The 25,996-nt window shown below is 37.3% G+C and overlaps 1 protein-coding gene across 6 annotated transcripts in view; it reads left to right on the top strand.

Annotated features, from left to right (window-relative positions):
* Window positions 1–25,996, top strand: part of MED13L (mediator complex subunit 13L) — a 319,118-nt gene that overhangs the window by 7,012 nt on the left and 286,110 nt on the right. Inside the window, exon 1 of one of the 6 annotated variants that reach the window (XM_047428609.1) lies at window positions 20,658–24,423. The exons of the other annotated variants lie outside the window; for them this stretch is intronic. The gene's annotated coding sequence lies outside the window, so the exon portion shown is untranslated. Of the gene's footprint in view, window positions 1–20,657; window positions 24,424–25,996 lie in introns of those variants that run through there. 6 annotated transcript variants of the gene reach the window in all.

Below are 25,996 nucleotides of genomic sequence, written 5' to 3'. Positions count from 1 at the left end.
AATTCACTTCATTACATAGGGGAGATGATATTTCATTAATCTTAGTAAATATTAACATAAACGAATTGTAAATTCAGACTCATTTGCATGAATGAAATATGTATGCTTGCCCAATTTTTGTTTAGTATGAAGTCATGTACATCAGCGTTTTCTGTCTTTGCTTTAGTTGATAGAAAAATAGTTTAAAATTCGTGTTCCTTTACTCCCTTGTTTTATTACTGAACTTTAAGATTATCTAGCTGGGCGTGGTGGCTCAAGCCTGTAATCCCATCACTTTGCGGGGAGGCCAAGGCAGGCGGATCACGAGGTCAGGAGATTGAGACCATCCTGGCCAACATGGTGAAACCCCGTCTCTACTAAAAATAGAAAATAATTAGCTGGGTGTGGTGGTGCGCGTCTGTAGTCCCAGCTACTTGGGAGGCTGAGGCAGGGGAATCGCTTGATTCCAGGAGGCAGAGGTTTCAGTGAGCCGAGATGGTGCCACTGCACTCCAGTCTGGCGACAGAGCGAGAGTCTGTCTCAAAAAAAAAAAAAAATTATCTGTGGTATAGAATAGATTTTATCCTCACATATTAGCTGTAATAATCCTCCTTTAGGAACTCCTGTTTTTCTTGCATTTATATTAGCATGTTTTGGTTATCTTTGTTGGAGTAGAGTTGTCCTCCTTTTTTTAAGTTAATAAAGTGCTTTTTAGAATATATTTTGATTCTAGTTTGAAAAAAAAAAAGAAAACTGCCTTGTATTTTTTCATTGACTTCTTTCTAGATGACAGGAGAGTCAGTTGTGTCCAAGGCAAAATGTTATTTCATTGGCATTTCCATACTCTGGTTTACTATGTATATTTCTCAGTGTTTATTTCTCATTCTAGATGAATTGTGGTGTAGAATCTAATTAAAACTGTATTTCTACTACTTTGAAATAGCGCAGAGCCTTGGCTGACAGCTTTCTACATTTTGTACTATTTTTCAGTATAGTAAAACTCCATTACTGTTTTTCTTTTTTGTCTGTTTTGTTTTGTTTTGTTTTTGAGACAGTCTCCCTGTGTCACTAAGGCTGGAGTGCAGTGGGCTCAAGCAGTCCTCCCACCGCAGCCTCCCCAAATGTTGGGATTATTGGCATGAGCCGCTGCTCCCTGCCTCCATTACTGTTAAAGGATCCTCTTGAGTTGAGTGCATCAAAATTTCATTAGTGTCTTTTTTTTTTTTTTTTTTTTTTGCATAGTTTAAATTTGTGGCTTTAACTTTAAAAGTAGATTGGGGGGGCGGGGAGGAGGGAGAGCATCAGGAAGAATAGTTAATGGATGCTGGGCTTAATACCTAGATGATAGGCCGGGTGCGGTGCTCAGGCCTGTAATCCCAGCTCTTTGGGAGGCCGAGGCTGGCTGATCATGAGGTCAGGAGATTGAGACCATCCTGGCCAACTTGGTGAAACCCCGTCTCTACTGAAAATACAAAAAGTAGCTGGGCGTGGTGGTGTGTGCCTGTAATCCCAGCCACTTGGGAGGCTGAGACAGGAGAATCGCTTGAACTAGGGAGTTGGAGGTTGCGGTGAGCCGAGATTGTGCCACTGCACTCCAGCCTGATGACAGAACGAGACTGTCTCAAACAAAACAAAACAAAAACAACCAAAAAACCTAGGTGATGGGTTAATCTGTGCAGCGAGTCACCATGGCACATGTTTACCTATGTAACAAAACCTGCACATGTACCCCAGAACTTAAAATAAAAGTTGATGGGGAAAAAAAATTGATAGGAGAAGATAAAGCAGGAAAATATTTAAGTCTTCATTAGATCTTTTTACTTAATAATTCTTAATTTGTATTAAGTCACTGAGTTGAATGTATTTAAGACATTTGATATTAAAATTAAATTGGAGTGACAGACTTGTTTCAAATAAAATATGTAATTGTAAACAAGTTTTATGGTGGGGAGTAGAAATTTCAAAAATTGGTAATCTAAAAGGATATTAAACTGAATAAGAATTATTGTGATCTTTTCTTCTCCCTTAAAAAACATTTGACAAATTTATGAAGAAGTGTTTTTTTTTTTTTGCTGGGAGGAGGGGAGATAGGGTCTCACTATGTTGCTCAGGCGGTTTCAAACTCCTGGCCTCAAATGATCCTCCTGCCTTGGCCTCCCAAAGTACTGGGATTACAGGTGTGAGTATGAGGAAGTATTTTTGAGTATAATACAGGAGGCTTCCTCATTTCAATATTATTAAGAAGGATGATTAAATTTATCTGAACTTAATATGAGCACTAATAAGGTATTCAGAAGAGTATAATTGGTTTGACAAAAAACATTTTATGTTGACAATTCTGACTATTGAATTTTCATGCCCTAAAGAGAAATAAGGAAAAACATACATATATCTAACTGGAACATTTGGAACTAGCTCCTAGTATTTGTGCCTGCATGTAAGCCTGGCACAATGCTACTTAAGAAGTTCAAATGTTACCTCCTCTGACCACCACAGGCAGAACTAGTTACCCCCTACCTCCCTCTGTGTACCTCTGATCATCAGATGAGCTTCTGCAGGAGAGTGACCCTGTTGAAATCATCTTTGCTAGGTGCTCATTAACTATCTGTTAAGTGATGGAATTCCTGGACGATTATTCTCCATTCCTCAAGGGAGCTCTTATTGACCATTTGGGTCTTGATCACAAGTATGCTGTTTTTATTTCAGCTTATTTTGATGATTAACTCTGTGTTCTGAATATATTTTATCTAGACTGTATGTACTGTGGCTTGGTAATATTTTAGATGAATTCTAGAATTTCCTTATTAAAGACAATTCCAACTGATCATGAGACATGTTCTTACTCCTCAAAGGAATAAGAATTCATTTAGTGTTTAGATTTTCTGTAGCATAGTAGGCAACCTATAGATTTTTGAGCCTTCTGGGGATTTTGTTTGGGGGCTTGATCCAGAATTCCTTTACTTTCATTCTTTAAGCTGTATAGCAGTGCTTTTGTTCAACATTCAAAAGATTGTTTTCTATGAGCCCAGTAAAATGGGAAATAACCTGGTAGTAGGGAAACTTGAGTTGTATTAAACATTTTTACTAGTATGATCACGTAATAGTTCTGTGCCTCAGTTTCTCCTGTAAACTTGGTGTTGGAGGGCAGGAGGCGTGAAAAATCATTTTGAGTACCTTTTAAGGAAAGCGCTTTGGATGACTAGATGATGTTCTTTAGTAGGAAGAGACCTTTAGTAAATTACAACTAAAGTTATAGAGTAGCCCGAGGCAGTTAACCAGGAGATTGGAATGGTAAAATGACTTGTTTTAAGTATAGCATTTATGTTGTGTTTGTATTTTTTTCTAGGGAGCAGAGGATTAAATTGTTCTTGTGTCTTTCCTCGTAAATAAGCCAAGATTGAGAAGAAAAACTTGAAATTCATTTTTAGTTTTTAACAGTTTTTCGTTACAACCATATATGATTCACAGTTGCATGGTGTGCCTTTAATGCGCTGGGTGATTTTGCTGTACCAACTCTGAGCTATAGCTGGCTGAGATTGGGAATTGAACCGTGGCTCTTATTTGGTAGTTTAAGCTATTAATTCCTTGGCAGTTCTGGAGTGCTCTTTGAACTTTAAATAGCAGTTCTATTAACACTTTGAGATTTGTCTCAGGGAATGTCAGGAATAGTACTTAATAAATATATTTTTCTTCTTAAAGACTAAATCATGTTTTAGTTTGACACACATGTCACAACCCTTACTGTGTTTTGAACAGAGAGAACTCAGCTACTGGCTAATTTCTATTTTCTGTTTAATAATGTGGCAGTATCTAAAAATATTGTTTAGGCTTGTTGAAGGAAGGAAAGCCCTCCCACGAATCTGTAGCGTTTGTATTAGTCATGTTGAATATGAATAGTGTCTTAAGTTGTATCTAGAGGTTTAGAATTTTACATGTAGGTGGTCTCCTGTGTTCTAAAATACTAGAAAAAGTTAATTTGTAAGTTTGTTTTCACAAAAAAACTCCCATCTCTTGCTACAAATGATGGTTAGCCTATTTACCTTGTATATTGTACTTAATTAGGTCTATTATAAAACTCAAATGCTATTTATAGCAGCATTTTTGTGGGAATAAACTTATGCTTAGTGTTCTCATGTAGGGTGTCAGGAGCACCTTTTCTCTGACTTATAGTCCTGGCAGTCAGAGCGGGAGCTATAGCTCCTCTTCTAGGCCAAGGAGAGGATTGCTGTGTGGAAGAGTGTGGAGAGGTGAGGATGGCTCCCTGTGGGAAGAGCAGCAGTTTTGAAGGCAGGTTTTCCTTTCCCTGCTTGTGGGCACCCACTGCTGCTTTCTCTTTGCTGATACTAGTGGCAGGTTCTGTGATGTCATCAGGAAAAGATTCTGTATTTCTTTGCATTTTAGCACTTCCCTTCTCTTTCCTCTCCTCCTTCACTCAGCCCTGGAGACAAGCTTTCTGCTGGCTATTACGTTTGCTAAATGAGGACTTCTGAGATCCAATGGGATGAAAAGGGAATTAGGGCTGAGATTGGACGGGGTAGCCAGTAAACAAATACTTAGAAATGTTAATGTTTTGTACGCTATGTTTGAGAAATTTGAGACATGTATTTTGGAATAATGTACATCAGAAATTATTAAAATCTAGCTTGGGTTAACAAAAGGGCTAGACTGATATGCGGAAAAAAGATCTGCATGCACTATTTAATTTCTGCAGAGGGAGAGTGACATGGACCGCATAATATCTGATAATACTTTGTAGCCAGAGAAACCTGAAAGGGGAGTAATAAAACTGGATGTTGAAGGAATGGATGGATGTGGCTTGCTAGAGAAGAAGGGGAAGGGCATTCTTTGGAAGCTTGACAATTTTTAGTCTTTATTCTTGAGGATCTTTATTGAGGTGGTATGTAGGAGAACACTTCTAATTTATGGTCCTGGTTCTTGGCTTTCTTTTAAAAAACAGTACAAAGACTTATTGAAATTGAATTTTTATTAGGTGGAAAATTTGAAGTGTGGGCAGGCCAATTTAGATTAAGAAATGATGTTAAAATAATTTTCAGTTTTCTAAAATCAGTTCTGAACTTTAAAAAAAGTGCTATATTACGCAAAATGCTAATGACTAAAGTGACAAATATTTCAGAAACTGGACAGACGTGAATCTCAAATGAGCAGATGGGATATGAAACTAAAACGGGAGATAATCCAAGACGATATAGAAACTATTATGAGAAGTGAATTGAGGAAAAACAAGTGTGTTAAATGGTATTACATTTAATAATGTGTTTAAAAGCCTTTCTAGGACTGCTGTCTTACACAGACAAATTAGAATTGTTGAACTGTGTAACCCTTCATTGTTTAAATTCTGTGCATTGAAAACAAATTCGATTTTGGTTTAAGATTACTTCTTATGAAGCCTAGGCTTTTAAGTTGTGAAGGTATAGGTTATATGTGCTTTAAATAGACAATCTAATTTGCTTTCTCTGACTTAAAGGTAAAGAAATGAAATAATGGTGATTTTCAGAGACAATCGTGGTGAACCTTGAAGGGGAGAGGTGTAAGGAGTGAAAGAGAGGGAAGGTTTGCTATTTGGGCAGCTTGGTAGTTCAAATAATTACATTTGACTGTTGAGGGTAGAATCTTGGATAAGTGGGTTGAGGAGTGAATGAATGGCAAGGTAAGCCAGTACAGACACTTTTCAGTTCTATCTGTCTGTCTGTCTAATCAATCTAGAGATGGTGGTTTGATGGGCAGTGGGGTCTTGCTGTGTTACCCAGGCTGGGCTTGAACTCTGGGACTCAAGTAATCCTCTTGCCTCAGCCTCTGGAGTAGCTGGAATTTCAGGCGTGCACCATTGTGTGCAGCTTACTTTTAAGTTTGATTCAGAAGGTTGATTGTGAAGCAAGCAGGAATGGGGGAGTAGGGGAGGGTAAGAGCCTGAAAGGTAGATTTGTGTTTGTTGACTTTGGAGCATCAATAGTGGAAAGACAGAAGGAAAGATGGAAGATACAAGGAAAGTTGATAAAACAAGCCTGGCTGGAGGATGGTTATCAAAAACCCAGCCGATAGTGTTAGTGCTAGAAAAGATGAAGACACCTCTTAGAAATACAAGATGTGATGATCTAAGAAAGGAATAAGTGTGAAGGAAGTGGGAAACAATCTCAATCTTGTAACTTGAGTGTTTTTTGAGTTCAAGGATTAAAAGTAGTGAGCTTCAGGCCGAATAAACAAAATCAATTTTTAAAAATTTTAGCTAGAAATTTTCCATTTTGTTAGTTGATTGCAGCAATCATTTTATTTTTGTTACCTTCCTTTAAAGGTTTTAAAGTTACAATTTCACAAGTATAAAACTGATTTTGAACTAGACATATCAGAACTGAGATATATCTGCTGAAATGAGGAGTATTGTTCAAAGTAGGCCCCCTTGAAATGGATCAAATGATGTTGCCATTGTTTATAATTTTTTTTGTCCTTTTCCTTTGGAATTGCTTTTAGAGACAGTTTAGTTGGCTGCCCCAGAAAATCTTATTTTAAGGGTTGCCTCTTTAGTCAGTGTCTTCTCTCTTTGCAGTTTATTATTTTAGTTCTGCTTTTTGCTCTAAACTGCTGCCTAAGAGTTAACAGTTTAATACCCTTCTGATGAGGGCCTTGCTGCTGATGAGTGAAAGCCCAGGGAAAGCTCCATTTTGGGTATGTTGGCATACATACGTTGTGGATGTATGCCAGGAATTCCAGCCTTGCTTGAACCTCTGCCTTCTCAGGTTCTGAGTCTAGCGATTCAGTGTACTTTGTTTTCATACAGCTTCAGTGGAGGTGGGTTTAGCAATCCATTGATTGGCAAGACAGGATATTGGGACCAATTAAGTGGTGGTGGTATTTTTGCTTTTTGAGGATCAAGGCAAATTATCCTAAGGGTAGAGTAGAATTCTGTGTTGTGTCTTCTCTCTGTCTGACTAGCAAGAGTCAGACATCAAATTGAGGCTCATTTTAGAGCCTTGGGATATATAAATAAATGTATCCTGTTGAGATAATCTCTTAAGGTTTAAACTGAAGTTTGGTTTGTGTGATATCCAACTTCTTACCTTTGACCACTTGGTGTTGCCTTATTCATTGGAGACTGCCTAGTAAGATAGCTAGTAGCTAGCCCACACATGTTGTCTCAGTAATTTCTTCCACAGTTGGAGATTAGCACAATAGAATTTGGAATTATACTTCATAGTAGTCTGCCTGAATAGTTAGTGTGGGAGGAGGTGCAGACGACCCTTTACCTGTAGTAGGGATGTCTCTACTAGTTGTTTAGATTACAAGTTGCAGTGGCAAGTATTATTTCTGTTTTTCAATTCAGAAATATAATGAGATTTTTAGACCTTTTCTCAGTCAGTTTTACTTTTTTTGGTCTTCAGATTACATAGTTTAATTTATAATTCTTTTTTTAGTTTTTTTTACATAATAAAAGAGAATGGGAATCCTGTCAGAAAGCGTTGTGATGTAATCCTAGAGCTATAGATATTTTAGGAAAATTTAGCTACATAATAGTTATTCTAAAAAAATAAGAAAAGGTACTTCAAAAATTTTCAGATTTATGACACCTGAGCCATTTAGCATTTAGAATTTATATCAGAGCATGAATCTTCATCTTAGCAACTAAAGAGCACAAATATTTGCCTCCTGAGATACAAGTTCTTAACTAACATTTAAGTTACTAAAAACACAGTGTTCAAAGTATGTCGCTTTAACTTGAAAAGTGTAATCATCTGCACAGATTGAATCAGGTTTCATGATCCCAAATAGACTACATTCTTTAGTTGTCTACAAATTACTTGAGAGAGATATGTATGAAGATGATATTTTGTTGCTATTTGGTGATAAGGTTGTGAAACTGAGCTTTGCAACCCAGACAGATGGTGCTATTCTTGAATCTGCAAGATCCTATAACATTTAATTAAACAGCGGAATGATTCTCATGAGAATCCATAGTTTGTTATATATAAGCTAATAAGCTGACTTTAGTAAATTGTATAAATTTGATTTGAAGTAGAAGAATTACCTATTCTAGGAAACTATTCTAATGAATGTTAAGATGAGTAGCTTGTGTTAGTGGTTTATATGGTAAACTCAAGGAATATTCCAGATGGAAAAACAAGTGGGACTCACTAAGGTAGGCGTTTATCTTCTAAAGTAACTTTGATTTTGTTGCCAAACTTTCTCATATGGTAGGTGTGATATGCTGTTAAGAACCCACAGAGCTGACTTTAACAATTTCCAGAAAGCTGTGAGAAATTTAGTTATATATGTTAACACCCATTTTAGAAAATATCTATTGATTTAGATTCCTTGTAATCTATCTTATATTTTAATTTTGGAATTGAAAATAGAAATAAGTAAAACAGCCCAGTCTAGTTTTAGTATGTTATGTGAACATAACTCTTTAGCCATTTGTAAAAGTTTGAGTTTGGTGGTAATATTGTATGATGGAGATGAATGAATTTTTTAGTTATATAAATAATTATGTAAATAATACAATAACAGACCATACATTTTTAGACATCATTGCAAATATTCTTTTATTAAATTTACCTTTTCTTTAATACCTATTTTTTAATAGGTAGAAGATAATGTGATGTTTGATGGCCAATTGAAGGACATGAAGGAATTGGGAGTTAATTCTGTATGCACAGAGGAATGCCTGAACTGTTTTAAAGAGGATAATGGCATGATCAGATTTATGTTTTAGAGAGAAAACCCATGTGGGCCCTGTGGAGTATGGATTGTCATAGGGGAAAAACCAAAGGCAGGAAGAAGCTCTTAGAACAGTCTAGGTGTGAGAAATAACGCAGGGCCAGTAGGAATGGAGAGAAGGAAATAGATCGTGTAATATTTTGGAGGTAGAGTTGACAGGCTTTGGTGATCAATTATAAATATGCCATAGAACAGGAATCAGATGATAAACAGATGTTCTTGGTTTTATGGCATTTGCATTCTTGTGTATGCAAAACGGGGAGGAACAGTTGGCAATATCTATCTGCTGAAGTTGTTAAACAGTAGACTTAAGCTTTGATCACAATTGTGTATATAAGAAAGTATTCACTGAGCCTGGGTTCTTGCTTTTAAACCCTACAGAAATCAAAGTTTTAAAGCAAGGAGTAGTGAAAAGAAAGTGAAAACAAACGTTAGCACTTATAATCTGCCTGTTTCCAGAGTTTTTTTTTTTTTTTTTTTGAGACTGAGTTTCTGTTGCCCAGGCTGGAGTACAGCGGCACAATCTCGGCTCACTGCACCCTCCGCCTCTGAGGTTCAAGTGATTCTTCCACCTCAGCCTCCTGAGTAGCTGGGACTACAGGCACCCATGACCATGCCCGGCTAATTTTTGTATTTTTATAGAGACACGGGGTTTCACTGTGTTGCCCATGCTGGTCTTGAACTCTTGACCTGAAGTGATCCGCTTGCCTTGGCCTCCCAAAGTGCTGGGATTACAGGCATGAGCCACCATGCCCAGCCTACAGAAAATATTTGAGACAATAAGAGTAGGTTTTATAAGGGAAGGGAGGGGCAGAAAAAAGGTGGGGAAGATAGGAGAAGGCAAGTCTGGTGCAATGGGTAGAGTGGGGCCTTTGGCAGGTCGTGGGTAGAGACGGTGGTGATTGGAGGTGTGAATTTTGGCAGGGGAAGATTCATGCAAGTTTAGTTATAAGAAATGGGCATGGAAAAGTCCTAATAGGAAGAAAGAAAAGGTGGGCAGGGGAAGGGTAACCTAACAGCAGTTGGCTCTGTATCAGCCTTTGTTACCTAGAGCATCTACTTTTAATAGTGGTAAGCCCAGAAAGCAGATGCATTTTCCTACTGCAGATCTGCTTTGGGATATTCTCGTTTAATTTTTTACATGAAGGTTTTGTTTATATTAATTTCAAATCAGTGATATTTTTGGTAAGAGGGTGAAATAGACATTCCATCTGTTTTCCTTCATGCCTTTGTGGAAATGGCCAGATTTGGGGAACCAGTGGATAGAATAGCGGGGGCATTTGTAGAGACCACAAACCAGTGTTTATCATTGGTACTTATTGCTTGTTTTGATTTTGGTTTCTTTCAAATTTTTGTTCCTATCATTCTATTCTTTGTTTCCGTGACACTTAGCTTTCTGAGTGCACAATATTTTTTTTGTTATTGAGAGCGTAATTGTTATGCCATGTTGTATTTTTTGCCTCACATGTTGGAGAAATTTTTCCTTCCTCGTTCCATGCCTCTCTCTCCATACCCCCTTTTCCTCAGCACATTCCTGGGTTCCTCGTGTTCAGGAGTGCAACCCTGACTGTTGGACTTTATGTGCATCACCAGTGCTCAGTTAAGCGCTAAAATGGACATATGCGCTTCAGAACCTTTTGATGTAATCTCCTTGGTGTGGTGGGGACCCTTTCCAGTTGTTCTGAGTGCACTTATTGGCACAGCGTGTACTATCCATTGTAGATTGGCTGTAAATTAATTCAGCCTTCGTATGTGGGGAGGTTTTTCACTTGGCTACCCTGAAGGTAAAGAGTTGGCTTTCCCGCAGTTGTCATTTTTCTTTACTTTCTCTCCAAGTGAGGTAGTACTAATGAAATACCAAATATTTCCAAGAAATACAACTTCCAAGAAATGAAAACTGTAAAACATTTGTCCATGTTCCAGCCGCTCCATTAGATCAGATTTACCCCAATTCTTCTTCTGTTCTTGTTAATGTGCACATTTTTGTACATAGATGTAATCACAGTGTAAATAGAATTCTTTATTCAGCTGTACTCACTAACATTTCCCATGTGCTTATAATTTTCATAATTACAATTTTAGTGGAAAAGTAATTTCTTTTAAAAATTTTATACAATTTTATGTAATTAGTGTGAGCTTCAAACAGTATGGAAGTGTCTAACACAAAACATGAAGGATCCCTCCCCTCACCTTCAGGAAGGTAACTTCCAGAGGTTTAATTTGTATTATTCCAGATTTTTTTTTCTTGCTTTTGCATGTGTCAAAATTGTTTTATTAGATATTGAATAGATAAACAGAGCATGTGTAAATCACACATAAGGTAGAAAGATTCATGGTACAATGAACACCCATGTACCTAATACGCAGTTTAAGAGAAAGAACTTTTCACCACTTACGGAGTCCTGTGTGTGCTCTTCCTCTCCCATTCTCTTTTCTCTCCCTTCAGAAGTAACTCTTACTTCAATTTCATGTGTATCATTCTTTAATTTTTAAAGTTTTAATCACATATGTATTTATATGTATATTTTTACATGTTTTTGGACTTTTAATATTGAATCGTATTCTTTTGCAAACTGCCTTTAATGTTATGTTCCCACAATTCTACAGTTGTAGTTCTCGTATATCGCAGTTTATGCATTCTGTTGGTGATGGACAGATTTGTACTTAAAAAAATTACAGATAAGAAATAATTCTCCACCTTTTCCTGCAATGTGCTTTTTCCGCTTAACATTGTCTTCAAGTATTTTTATGTCAGTAAATTTAGATATAGTTTACTCATTTTTATTATGTTTTTGAGCAGTTGTATCCTGTTTCATAAGATGGATGTACTATTGTTTGTTTAACCATCAACTATGAGAAACGTTAAGATTCTTTCAATTTTTTGCTGTGTAGTACAGTTATACATTAAAATTGGAAAGCTATAGCTATAAACAGTTTAAAAAGATGTGTCAGTTTACATTTCTATGGACAATATATAATGCCTATTTTTTTCTGTCCCTGCCTGTAATGGAACTTACTCATTTTAACTTCTGCCTCTACAAAAAAAAAAAAAAACCCTCAATATTTAAATTTTCAATTTTTGGATTTCTCGTGAGATTATGAGCATCTTTTCATCTATATGGGTATCCAGATTTCTTCTGTGAGTTTATTTTTCAAGTGTTTAATCTCTAAAAAGCCTTTTTTTTTTTTTTTTTTCTGAGATGGAGTCTCACTCTGTCGCCCAGGCCGGAGTGCAGTGGTGTAATCTCGCTCAGTGCAACCTCTGCCTCCCGGGTTCAAGTGATTCTCCCGCCTCAGCCTCCTAAGTAGCTGGGACTACAAGTGCATGCCACCATGCCAGGCTAATTTTTGTATTTTTAGTAGAGACGGGGTTTCACCATGTTGACCAGGCTGGTCTCGAACTCCTGACCTGAGGTGGTCCGCCCACCTCGGCCTCCCAAAGTGCTGGGATTACAGGTGTGAGCTACCGTGTCCGGCCGTTCTTTTTCTTTTTATAATAAAATTTCCAACCACTCACTAAAAGGAATCTGTATTTCAAGTCAGACCTTTACATGTTCTCACCTCAGAGCTTTTGCTGTTTGTAAAGAGTGCTTGCTGCAGGCGTGCACTGCTTAACTACCAGCTACATGCATTTTCTCATGCTCACAAGATCCTTTTGAGGTAGAGTCTACTATTCTCATTTTTCAGATAAGAAAACTGAAACAAGAAATTTAAGTAGCTTGTCCAAGGTCACACAGGAGCTGAATCTCTTGATTCAAAGCCTGAACTTTTAACCAGTAGTACATTTGTATTTTATGTTTTTCTTTCTTCTATCTAAATTCTTTTAGGACTTCAGTGAAGCTCCTCGTAGCTATTCCAAACATTATTGGTCTCTTTCTTTTTCGAGCCTTTTGAAAATTAGCAGTGTAGACCATATAATTTAGTACAAGTGCTAAGGTAGAAATCACTGGAGCATATAGATTTGCCTGAGATTAATGGAGTGATAATACAGTTTACGTTTTTTTAAAGTTTCATCAGAGATTAATGGAGTAATATACAGCCTACAATTTCTTCCCAGAGATAGGGAAATAGATTTTTTTTTGTCTTAGACTGTTCCAAATTGAGGAATCATTTGGAAAATGAAAAATTATAAAGATAGCTTATTGTTTTGATTGATGACTGGGGCAAGGTTAAAAAACCTACATAACCATGTGATCTAAAAAATAAAAATGATCACCTCGATAAAAGTCTTTCAGTTTTTTTTAAAGTAAAAGCCAGTTATTAAAATAATGTCAAAATGATTTAGTATCACAATCATATGCTTATTTAAAAATAGACAAATAGCTTAAAAAGTAATCTCTTTTTCTGTACAGGCAGCTTGGAGGCCTGCATTTTACAACTGATTTGGTTGTCAAGGGATCTGGGCTCTTTCTGTCTTGTTACTACACTGTTCTTAGTTTATGGCATATAGTTCAAGATGGCTATTCAGACTCCAGTCATCAAGGTTGCATTCTAGGTTAGGAGGAGGTGGAAATGTGGGAAGGACACACCGTCCTTTAAGGAAACCTCCAGGAAGTTGCCTACAACACTTCTGGCCATACTTCAAGGCCTTACTTAACTGCAGGGAGGCTGGGAGATGTAGTTCTTTAAGTGGGCATGTTGTTATCCACAGCAGTGTAAAGTGTATGTTACTATGGGGGAAGGAGCCACTCATGTTTGTGTAGACAGTGCCTGCCTCGTAAATAATATACGTTTCTGTTTATAGTCTGTTACTGCAGCTGAGAAGCAAACCATCTTAATATCACTAATGAACTTCATTAAATAGTTCAATTCCCAGAAATTTCACAAGAATTCTCTTATAGTTAAGGTTAACAAATACAAATCATTTAATCAGTGTCCTGAAGTAGTCAGACATGAAAATAATTTATTTGAAAATATTGTGTATACCTCTAAACGATTTACACTTACCAGGAGATGTGCAAGATGATACTTTGGTTTTATTAAAAGTAGTTTGTTTTGGGCTGGGCACGGTGGCTCATGCCTGTAATCCCAGCACTTTGGGAGGCCGAGGTGGGCGGTCAAGAGATTGGGGCCATCTTGGCCAACATGGTGAAACCTCGTCTCTACTAAAAATACAAAAATTAGCTGGGCGAGGTGGCGCACGTCTGTAGTCCCAGCTACTCTGGAGGCTGAGGTGGGAGAATCGCTTGAACCTGGGAGGTGGAGGTTGCAGTGAGCTGAGATCAATCCACTGCACTCCAGCCTGGCAACAGAGCAAGATTCCATCTCAAAAAAAAAAAAAAAAAAAAAAGTAGTTTGTTTTCTTTGAGAGATTGTTTACATGTATTCTTCCATTAATACATACATTTCTTATTACATTTATTGAGGTATACTTTACATACAATAAAATATACTCACTTTAAGTGTACGGTTTCATAATTTTGACAAATGTGTATATCTGTGAAACCACTGAAATCAAAGTAGAGAACATTTTTATGATGCAAAAAAGTTCATACATGTCCTTTTGCAGTCAGGGTCTCCCCCTTGCCCCTCAGCCTTCCTCCCCTCCAGGCAACTACCAATCTGCTGTTACTGTAGAATCATTTTGCCCTTTCTAGAATTTTTAATAAATGGAATCATATAGTATGTAATCCTTATTTCTGGTTTCATATTATTGCTTAAGTAGGGTTTTTTTTTTTTTTTGCTAAATAGTAGTCTCTTTTTTGGATATGCCACAATTTGCTGTTGGCTGTGAAAATTAATGTACTGCTTTTTGTGTGGGACATATGTTTTTATTTCTGTAAATAACTAGGAGTTTCACTTTATAAAGAACTGCCAAACTTGCAAAAAATAAAATGTTTGTATCATTTAATATCCCATGAGTTTTATAGGAGTTCTAATTGCTCTGCATTCTTGCAGCATGTAGTACAATGAATTTTTACAAATTTCAGCCATCCTTGTGGCGTGTAGTACATGTTGTGAATCTTTTATCTAAAATGCTTGGAACCACAAGTGTTTTGGATTTTGGATTTTTTCAGATTTGGGCATATTTGCATTATACTGGCTGAGCGTCCCTACTCTGAAAATTTAAAATTTGGAATTTCCTTTGAGTGTCATGTTGGCATGCAAAAAGTTTTGATTTTGGAGCATTTTGGATTTTTGAATTAGGGATGTGCAGTATGTAGTAACTTATTTCAGTTTGTAATTTTTTGATAACAGATGAAGTTTAACATCATTGCATGTGCATATTAAGTCATTCGTATATCTTTTGGGAAATATCTCTTCACATCTTTTGCCCAATTTAAAAATTAGGTTGTTTTCTTACTGAATTGGAAGAATTCTTGGAATATCCTGGATACAAGTTCATTGGCAGATAGATGTATTACAAATGTATTCTCCTAATTTGTGGTGTGCCTTTTCATTTTCTCACTGTCTTCTTTGAATAACAAAAGCTTTAAATTTTGATTAAGTCAAGTATTACTTTTATAAATCTATACTTTTCATGTCCTAAGACATCTTTGCCATCCCAAAGCAGGAAAGTTTTTTTCTTATGATTTCTTCCAGAAGTTTTACAGCATTAGTTAATTAGGTTTAGGCTTGCAATCCAGTAACTTATTTTAAGTTAATTTACATGGTGCGAGGTGAGGATTGAAGTTCTGGTTTTGTTTTGCATACGTTTAGCAAACTATTTAAACATCATTTGTTGAAGACTTATTGAATGACCTTAGAATCTTTGTTAAAAATTAATGGACTCTATGTGTGCATTGCTTTTTTCTGGGTTCTATATTCAGTTCCTTTGATCTACATGTCTGTTATGCCAGTACTACACTATGATGATTACTGAAATTTTATAGTATGTCTTGAAATTAGGATAAATTCTCCGACTTTGTTCTTTTAAAAATTGTATTGATTCTTCTGGGTGTTTTGCATTTCAATATAAGTTTTAGGATCAGCGTGTCAATTAAAAATTTTTTTTCTGTGGGGATTTATTTGTGATTGTATTGAATCTGTAGATCAAATTGGGAAAATTGACATTTTAACGATTTTAAATCTTTCAGTTCATGAACATGGTCTGGCTCTTCATTTCTCTAGATATTTAATTTCTCTCAACATTGTTCCGTAGTTCTTAGTATATAGATCTGGAACATACTTTTATCAGATATATTCCTAAGTAAGTTGTGTTTTTCAATGCTGTTTTAATGGCTATTATTTTAGAGTATTCCCCCCCACCCCCTTTGGACACAGAGTCTCACTCTGTCACCCAGGCTGGGTGCAATGGTGCGATCTCAGCTGACTGTAACCTCCGCCTCTCTAGTTCAAGCAGTTCTCCAGCCTCAGCCAGGAGAATCATGGTAGCTGGGATTACAGGTGTATGCCACCATGCCTGGCTAATTTGTTTGTGTTTTTAGTAGAGACAGAGTTTCATCATGTTGACCAGGCTGGTCTTGAACTCCTGACCTAAAGTGATCTGCCTGCCTTGACTTCCCAAAGTGCTAGGATTACAGGTGTGAGCCACTGCACCTGGCCATTTGAGAGTATTTTTTGACATGTTTACTGTTAGTTTATAGAAACGCCATTAATTTTTGGATATTGATTCTGTATACTGCAACTTTCCTAAGCTTTATTAGTTGTAGTAGCTTTTTTTGTAAATCCTTGGATTTTAAAAAACGTACGTGATGATGTTATCTGCAATTATAGATGGGTTTATATCTTTCTTTGTAATTTGTATTTTACTACTTTTTCTTGCTTCATTGCATTGATTAGGACCTACAGGGCAGTATTGAATAGAAGTAGTAAGAGTGTACATCCTTACCTTGTTCCTGTTCTTGGGCAGAAAATATTCACTCTTCTCATTGTTGACATTAGCTTTGAATTTTCTGATATCCCCGTAAGGTTGAGAAAGTTCTCTTTAATTCTTAGTTTTTAAAATACCGTGAAAGTGGCTGGGCTCACACCTGTAATCCCAGCAATTTGGGAGGCCGAGGTGGGTGGATCACTTGAGGTCAGGGGTTCGAGACCAGCCTGGCCAATGTGGCGAAACCCCGTCTCTACTAAAAATACAAAAAATTAGCTTGGCATGGTGGCACACGCCTGTAATCTCAGCTACTCAGGAGGCCGAGGCACGAGAATCTCTTGAACCCAGGAGGCAAAGGTTGCAGCAAGCAGGTATTGCGCCACTGCACTCCAGCCTGGGTGACAGAGTGAGACTGTCTCAAAAAAAAAAAAAAAAAAAAAAAAAACAAAAAAAACCGTGAAGGTGGGTATTGATTTTTGTTAAATGTTTTTTCTGCATCTATTGAGATGATCATAGGTTTTGTTCTTTTAATATGGTGAATTATACTGATGGGTTTCTAAATGTTGAACTAAGCTTGAATTCCACGACAAACCTTACTTAAGCTTATGGTATTATTATTACGTGTTATTAGATTTGATGTGCTAATATTTTGTTAATGGTTTTTTCATCTGTGTTTATGAAGGATATTGGCGTGTACATTTCTTATCATCTCTGTTTGGTTTTGGTATCATGGTTAATGTTGGTGTCATAAAATAGTTTGGGAAATAGTCCCTCCTTTGTTTTCTGAAAGAGTTTGTGCAGGACTAGTGATATTTTTTCCTTAGATGTTCGATAGAATTCACCAGTGAAGCTATATTGCCTTGGAGATTTTCTTGTGGGAAGGTTTGAAACCATGAATTCCACGTCTTTTTTTTTTTTTTTTTTTTGAGATGGAGTTTCGCTGTTATTGCCCTGGCTGGAGTGCAATGGCGCCATCTTGGCTTAGTGCAACCTCCGCCCCCCTCCCCCACCCAGGTTCAAGATATTCTCCTGCCTCAGCCTCCCAAGTAGCTGGGATTACAGGTGCGCACCAACACATCTGGCTAGTTTTTGTATTTTTAGTACAGACGGGGTTTCACCACGTTGGCCAGGCTGGTTTTGAACTCCTGACCTCAGGTGATCCACCTGCCTTGGCCTCCCAAAGTGTTAGGATTATAGGCGTGAGCCATCACGCCTGGCCCTCTGTGTCTTTAATAGATATAGAGTTGTTCAGATTTTCTGTTTCTTTGTTAATTTGGTAAAGGAATTTTGTTCATTTAACCTGAGTTTTATTTATTGGCACAAAAATTGTCTGTAATAATTCCCCTATCATTTTAGTGTTTTTAGAATGTGTGGTAATGCCTCCCCTTTTTTTTCCTGATATTGGTAGTGTGTCTGTTCTTTCCCTCTTGATTAGTCTAATGAGCATTTGTTAATTTTACTAATCTTTAAAGAACCAGCTTTTTGTTTTCTTTTTTTCTGTATTATCAAATTTGTTTTATGTCTTATCTATTAATATTTCTTCTCTTTTCCACATTATTTCCTTTCTTCTATTTACTTTTGGTTTAATTTCTTCTTCCTTTTATAGCTTCTGAGGGTAGATGCTTAGATCACTGATTTTATGCCCTTTTATTATTATTTTGAGACACATTGTCACTCTGTCACCCAGGCTGATGTGCAGTGGAGCAATCACAGCTCACTGCAACCTCAGTGTCCTGGGCTCAAGTGATCCTCTCACCTCAGACACCTGAGTACCTGGGACCACAGGCATGTGCCACCACACCTGGCTAATTTTTTTTTTTAGTAGAGACAAAGTTTTGTCATGTTGCCCATGCTGGATTTTATGCCTTTCTCATACAAATATTTAGAGCCACAGATTTCTCCTTGAACACTGTTTTATGGACTAGCATATGGTTTTTCTCAGTGAATGTTCCATGTGCATTTGGAAAAAAAGTATTTTGCTGCTGTTGGTGTAATGTTTTATAAATGTCAATTTGGTTATTTTGGTTGATAGTGTTCATGTTTTTTATATCCTTATTAATTTTATGTCTACTTGTTCTATTGCTGAGAGGAGGCCTATTGAAGTCTCCAATTATAATTTTGGATTTCTGTTTTTCTTTTTCAGATGTTTTTCCTTTATATATTTTGAAGCTCTGTTATTAGGTGCCTAGACATTTTAGATTTTTTTATGTTTTCTTGAAGAATTGACATTTTTATCATTACAGTTTTTTTTCCTTATTCCTAGTAATAGTACTTCTCTTGGTGTCAACTTTGATATTAATGTTGCCCCTTTAGCTCTCTCATAATTTGCACAGTATATCTTTTTTCTGTCATTTCACTCTCAACGTAAATATGTCTTTCTATATGTAAGGTGCATTTCTTGTAGGTAACATGTAGTTGGGTCTTCCTTTTTTTTTTTTGAGACAGAGTCTTGCTCTGTCTCTCAGGCTGGAGTGCTGTGGCGCGATCTTGGCTCGCTGCAAGCTCCGCCTCCTGGGTTCACGCCATTCTCCTGCCTCAGCCTCCCGAGTAGCTGGGACTATGGGCGCCTGCCACCATGCTGGCTAATGTTTTATATTTTTTTTAGTAGAGACGGAGTTTCACTGTGTTAGCCAGGATGGTCTCGATCTCCTGACCTCGTGATATGCCCATCTCGGCCTCCCAAAGTGCTGGGATTACAGGCGTGAGCCACCTCGTCTGGCCAGTTGGGCCTTACTTTAAAAAAAAAAAGGATCCCTCACGCCTGTAATCCCAGCACTTTGGGAGACCGAGGCGGGTGGATCACGAGGTCAGGAGATCGAGACCATCGTGGCTAACACAGTGAAACCCCATCTCTAGTAAAATACAAAAAAAAAAAAAAAAAAAAAAAAAAGGATCCATGATGAGAATCTCTGCCTTCTAATTGTAAGATTTAGAGAATTTATATTTAATATAATTATGTTGATTTACTTGGGTTTAAGTACACTGTCTTGTTTTTGTTTTTGTTTTCCTCCCTATTGGTCCCATCTGTTCTTAGTTCCTTTCATCCTCTGCCTTTTTTTTTTTTAAACCTACTTTGGATTATTTTGAGTATTTTTTATGGCTCCATTTATTATTTATCCAATAATTGGCTTATTAGATATACCTCTTTCCTTTACTTTTTAGGGATTGATCAAGGGTTTATAATGTGCATCTTTTACTTACCACAGCTTACCTTCAAATAATATTAAACTTCTTTATTTATAATGTAAAAACCTCCCATTTTCTCCTTCTGGCCTTTGTGCTATTGTTGTCATACTTTTTTTCTTCTTTCTATATCTGACATGTAGTCCACAAGGCATTATCATTTTTGCTGTAAACAGTTAATAAGCCTTTAAAGAAATTTAAAGATGAGAAAACAAATTTTTTTTTTTTTTTTTTTTTTTGAGGAGGAGTCTCGCTCTGTCACTCAGGCTGGAGTGCAGTGGTGCGATCTCAGCTCACTGCAACCTCTGCCTCCTGGGTTCAAGCGATTCTTCTGCCTCAGCTTCCTGAGTAGCTGGGACTACAGGAGCGTGCCACCACTCCCGGCTAATTTTTTTTTTTTTTTTTTGTATTTTTAGTAGAGACGGGGTTTCACCATATTGGTCAGGCTGGTCTCGAACTCCTGACCTCAGGTGATCCACCTGCCTCAGCCTTCTGAAGTGCTGGGATTACAGGTGTGAGCCACCATGCCCGGCCGAGAAAAAAAGTATTTTTTATTTATTTATATGTTACCTATTCCTGGTAATTGTTCTTCTTTTGTGTAGATCCAGGTTTCTATCTTGTGTCGTGTTCCTCGTACCTGAAGAAATAAAAAAAAAAATTATTCTAGTTACATTTATTTTACTGCAGGTCTGTTGGCTTCTGTTCATCTAAAAATAAGTCTGTATTTTACCTTAATTTTTGAGGGCTATTCGTCTTTGATCTAAAAGTCTAGATTTGGGAACTGTTTTTTTCTTTGAGCATATTTTTCCATTGTTTTTGGCCTGCATATTTTCAGATGAGAAGTCTGTAGTTAATATTATCTTTGTTTTTTCTTATGTAATGTATCTTTTTTTCCTCTGCCGACTTGTAATATTTTCCTTTTTATCACTGGTTTTTACAAATTTTATTTTGATGTATTTTGGTGTGTTTTTTTTTTTTTTTTTTTTTTTTAGTTTATGCTGCATTAGGGTTCACTGAACTCTTTAGATCATAGGTTTATTGATTTCATGAAACTTGGAGACAGTGTGGTCCTTATTCTGAAATTATTTTTGTCCCCCTTCTCTCCTACATTCTGAGACGTTAATGGCGTGTATGTTAGATTGCCTGATACTGTGCTGACTGCAGAAGTCACTTTGGCTTGTTTATTATGTTTTGTTTTACAAATTATTTGTTTTTCAGCTTGGATAGTTAATATCGTATGTTTTAAAGCCCTGACTTTTTTTTTTTTTTTTTTTTTTTTTTGGGTAGGTACTTAATCTGCTGTTAAACCCACAGCGAATTTTTCATTTTATATTTTGCATATTTGAGCTGTGGAAATTTTACTTAGTTAAAAAAATCCCCCATTTCTGTCCTTATGTTTGTGTTTTTCTTTAAATTCTTGACCATATTTATAATAGCTGCTTTAATTGGCTTGTCTGTTAATTTCATCATTACTTTCATTTCTGGGTCTGTTTCTGTTAAGTGACTTTTCTTACAGTCATGAGTCCCATTTTTCTACTTTTTGAATGTCTGGTATTTTTTATTGGTTGCTGGACATTGTGAGTGTTGTTGAAAGTCTGGATTTTATTTCCTTCCTTTAAAGAGTTGAATTTTGTATTGGCTGGTAGTTAAGTTACTGGCAGTTAATAAGATCAGCCTATTATTATTAGCATACTTTTTTTCTGAGGCTTGATTATTAGCTTGGGTTAGAATAGACTTTATGCTAGCACTGGTTTCCTCCTTATGAGGTATGGTCATTTTATGGGCATTATTCAGTGCCCAAGGTGTTTAACAGTGTTTTTTCTCTCTGGCTGTTCAGAACTTGACTGCCTCCCAGCTTTAGGTGAACTCTTGGAGTGATAGCTCCCAGTAGTTCTCTGCCTGACCTTGTTGAATTTTACTGTTTGAATGTGCAGCCTAGTACTTAGGAACAGTTTCAAAAGAGCCTCTATCAGATCTTTGGAGCTTTTTTCCTGAATATTCTTTCTGGTGATCTGTCTCCACAAATTCCAGCTGTCTTGGCCTTTGTAGGGCCCACCTCATTTGTATGCCTTCTCTCAGGGAGTCTAGCTCTGTACTCCCTGTTGTCTAGTGTCTGAAAACAGTAATTTTATATATTCTGTCCAGTTTTCTGGTTGTTTATAGTTGGAGAACAATTTGGTGCTTATTTATATTTTAAATGTCACATTTGTCTGTGTATGTTATCCTAGCTCAGGTATCAGCAGACTTTTTCTTATAGAACCAGAGTAATTGTTTCAGGCTCTGGGCCATGTGGCCCCACTTGCAACTCTGTGGTTGTAGTTTGAAAGCAGCCACAGACAATATGCAAATAAATGGGACAGTTGTGTACTGATAAAACTTTATTTACAAAAACAGGTGGTTAGCCCCCAGACCACAGTTTGCTAGCCCTTGAGTTAGTTGACTGAAATAGAAATGATATTAGAATTATGAAATCTTATTGTTGGATGGAATCCTTGAGACTCTTATTTCAGGTGTGAAAGGAACCCTTTAAGTCATATTGTTCAATTAGCCCTTTGATATTTGAAGCCACTCTACAGTGTCCTAATCTAGTATTGACCAGCTTCTCCTTAACCCCCCATATCTATGATTAACTCTCAGTCAGGGATTTATTTCTAGAGGGAGCTCTCACTGTTGTTGTTGCTTTAATCATCAGTTTTTCCATTTGGTTCTGTTGATACCACTTGGGACTGTGCTGAGCAAATGTAATTAATCTTCTACATATCAGCCTTCCATATAACAGAAGACTAAATAACTTCAGAATCATTTTAACTATGTATTAAGTTCATTCAGCTGTGTTATTTTTATCACATGGCTTTATTCTTCTATTTTATTCTTGTTGCCGTGTTAATTTGCTTGAAAGGATTGAATGTGCGGCTAGATAGCCTCTAGCCATATGACATGTTTAGATTTCCTCACCAGCCTAGTCTTTCATCTCTTTATTTGTTGCATTTTACCTATATTCTTAAAGTATGGAGCTAGGAGCTGAAAGCAGTACTGAATAATGACTGATAATTTAGATCTGTTGAATAGGATCAAGATTTCTTACCTTTATTAATGTAGCTTAAGATGGCAGCTACTTTTAAATATCTACTTCACATTGTTTAATTGTAGTAAACTTATTGTCAAATAAAACCTCTGAGCCCTTATACTTACGCTATAAACCAACTTTTAAAAAATCTTTATACTTTTTAGTTAATGTTGGTAAACTGAGCAGTGAAAAGAAAATGACACTTGAGGAAAACATTTATGAATCAGCACATATGCATATGTGTGTGTATATATATATACGTTAGCATCTTTTATATATGACCTCATTGTATGGAGGAATACCACATTGTATTTCTCATAACATGGAAATAACCAGTCAGATGGGAGGCCCAGTGTCTCGTCAGCAGCCCATCTACACAGGGAATCCTTGGCCAGCAACATAGCTATGGCTGAGAAGAATTTGAGCAGAGCCAGATGGGATGGAGCATGCAGCTAGAAAGATGTCTCTGTCCAGCTGGGTTTTAATAGTCTAAAATGGAGAAAAGAAACAGTCAACAACAACACGTTATTTTAACACATGGTTAAATAACCTTTTGGCTTTTGCAGCACAATTTATGGGATATTGTTCTTCAGTTTAGGAATTTGTCTAGAATAAGTCTATAAAGTAGTATAAGTGAGTTCTCAATATTAGTAGCTTTACATTCTATTACCCCATTTTGATTAATTTTGTTTAAATTTCCTTTTTTTTTTTAAAGCAGAGCTATATACTCTTACAGAATTCAATTAAAGAATCAGATAGGTCTACAAGGTTTATAAGAACAGTATTCTGCTCCTGCCCCTATTTTACCTTCTTTAGAAGCAAACACTCACCCTCTTTTGTTGATTATCTTGGTTCTTACTTAAATGTTTCTAAATACTGAGGTCATAGTTACTTTTAGATTTTTCAATTCTATATCTTCCACTATCGAAGAGGAGGGTTTAACTCATTCTTTCTGCCTCCTACAAAGCAGATGCCCTTTTAAAAATTTCCTCTCTCCCTCCCTCCCTTCCTTCCCTCCCCTCCTCTCCCCACTCCCCTCTTCTTCCCGCCTCCCCACCTCCCCACCTCCCTCCCCTCCTCTCCCCACCTCCCCACCTCCCTCCTCTCCCTCCCCTCCACACCTCGCTCCCTTCCCCTCCCCACCTCCCTCCCCTCCCCTCCTGTCCCTCCCTTCCCCACCTCCCTCCCCAGCCCGCCACCACCTCTAACTCCTTAGCTCAGGTGATCCTTCTGCTTGAGCCTCCTGAGTAGCTGGGACTACATATGTGTGCCACAATGCTTCAGCTGTGTCTGTCAGTCTGTATATAGAGACAAGGTCTTGCTGTCTTGCCCAGGCTGGTCTCAAATAGGTCAAGTCGTCCTTCTGCCTTGGCCTCCTAAAGTGCTGGCATTACAGACATGAGCCACAGGGCCCAGCCTGCTTACTTTTCTAAAACTTAACTCATCCCCACAGTTTTTGCCTATTGTATGAAACCCCTTTAAGACTCTCAGATGTATCAGGTGTTTTATTAGTTTCACCTTCCTGAAGAAGTCTTTACGGACCTGTCATAATCTGGATTGGTTGCCCTCTGCGCTGGTGTATAGTTGGCATCCTGGAGTCATCATTCGTTATGATTTTAGGGATTTATTTTATTCCCTCTCAGGTCTGTTTCCTGAATCTTCAGACTTCTTGGTGTATTCCCTCCTTTTGGTAAGTACACACCCAGTAGCTTCCTGAGAAAGGGTGCTTTTTTTTTTTTTTTGCATGTCTAAAAATGCGTTTATTCTCACATATTTGATAGAAAGTTTAGGCTGGCATAGCCATTTAATATTTAGTTTGGAAATAATTCTTTAGCATTTTGGAGTTATTGCACCTTTGCCTTCTTGCTTGTGGTATTGCTGTTGAGCAGTTAGAAATCCTGATTTTGGATATGTGACCTCTTTTTATTATATGGAAACTTGGAGGATTTTCTCTTAGTCTGCAGTGTGCTGAAAGTTTACAGTGATATGCCTTCCGCGAGTCTTTCTTAATCCATTGTTCTGAGCACTCAGAGAGCTCTTTCAATCTAGAAATTCACATTCTGTTTTTCTGGGAAATTGTTATGAATTGTTTTGTTGGTCATTTCCTCTTTATTTTCTGTATTTTCTCTTTCTGAAAGCTCTTGTATTTGGATTTCAGCTTCCTCGTATTTGGATTTTCAGCTTTCCCCCATTTTCCATTTTTGTTTATTTGTTTCACTTTCTGGGAGATTTCCTAAACTTTATCTTCTAAACATTTTACTAAGTTTTATCATTTCTGGAATCATTATTTAAAAATTTCCAAGAGCTTTTAAAAAATTCTCTCCTGAAATAGCATCCTGTTGTTTTTAAATGGTTGCACCATTTTATTTTGTTGAGAATATTCTTGGTGTTTTTAAAGTTTTCTTCTCCCAATGTTGTCTTCCCTTCTAGCTGCTTTTTCATTTGTTTTTGTTTCTGTAATTCCTCAGTGGTTTTCCTTAATTATTTAGCAATTCTTGGTTGTATGTTCATGTTTAGGAATGGTGGACTAAGAATCTGCTTGGAATTTCTGAGCATGTGACCGACATTTGCTTAACTGTGCGCCTCACTGATCTGGGTGGGCTCTTTAGTTGGGGAACCTCTCTCTGATCTCAGTATCTTGAGGTCTTTTCTGTGGAGCTAAGATTTCTCAGAGAAGACTTTTCCAAATTCCTTTCTGAGGGATGAAGACTGGCTGCTAGTTTTCTGGGTGCTTAGAGGGCAGTGGTAGGGAGGGGGTGGTCCTTGGCCTTCATTCTATATATTTCACCAAATGCCCTGTTTTCACTCTGGTTCCGTGCCTTCAGTTTGCCTGTGTCCTGCAGTCCAGGTACCCTCTGTTTACTGTCTCCAGAGAATACATTTGCATTTATTTGCTGGGGTGAAGAAGGGACAGTAGTTCAGCTTTGTGCAGTAGAGAAGGTACCTGGGCATCTGAGTGCCTTCTTATTTTATTTTCTTTTCTTTTAATTTTATTTTGTGATTGGGTCTCACTCTGTTGCCCAGGCTGGAGTACAGTGGTGTGATCACAGCTCACTGCAGCCTCAGCCTCCCAGGCTCAAGAGACCCGCTCACTTTAGCGTCCCTAGTAGCTGGGACTACAGGCAAGCAGCGCCATGCTTGGCTTATTTTTTAATTTTTTGTAGAGTTGAGGTCTCACTATGTTGCTTAGGCTGGTCTAGAACTTCTGAGTTCAAGTGATCCTTCTGCTGTGGGCCTGCCAAAGTGTTGGAATTACAGGCGTG

Source organism: Homo sapiens, chromosome 12 (assembly GCF_000001405.40).
Source record: "Homo sapiens chromosome 12, GRCh38.p14 Primary Assembly".
In the NCBI taxonomy this organism is placed as follows: Eukaryota; Metazoa; Chordata; class Mammalia; order Primates; family Hominidae; genus Homo; species Homo sapiens.
Note: the sequence above shows the minus strand (reverse complement) of the source record. Positions and strands in the feature narration are given on the sequence as shown.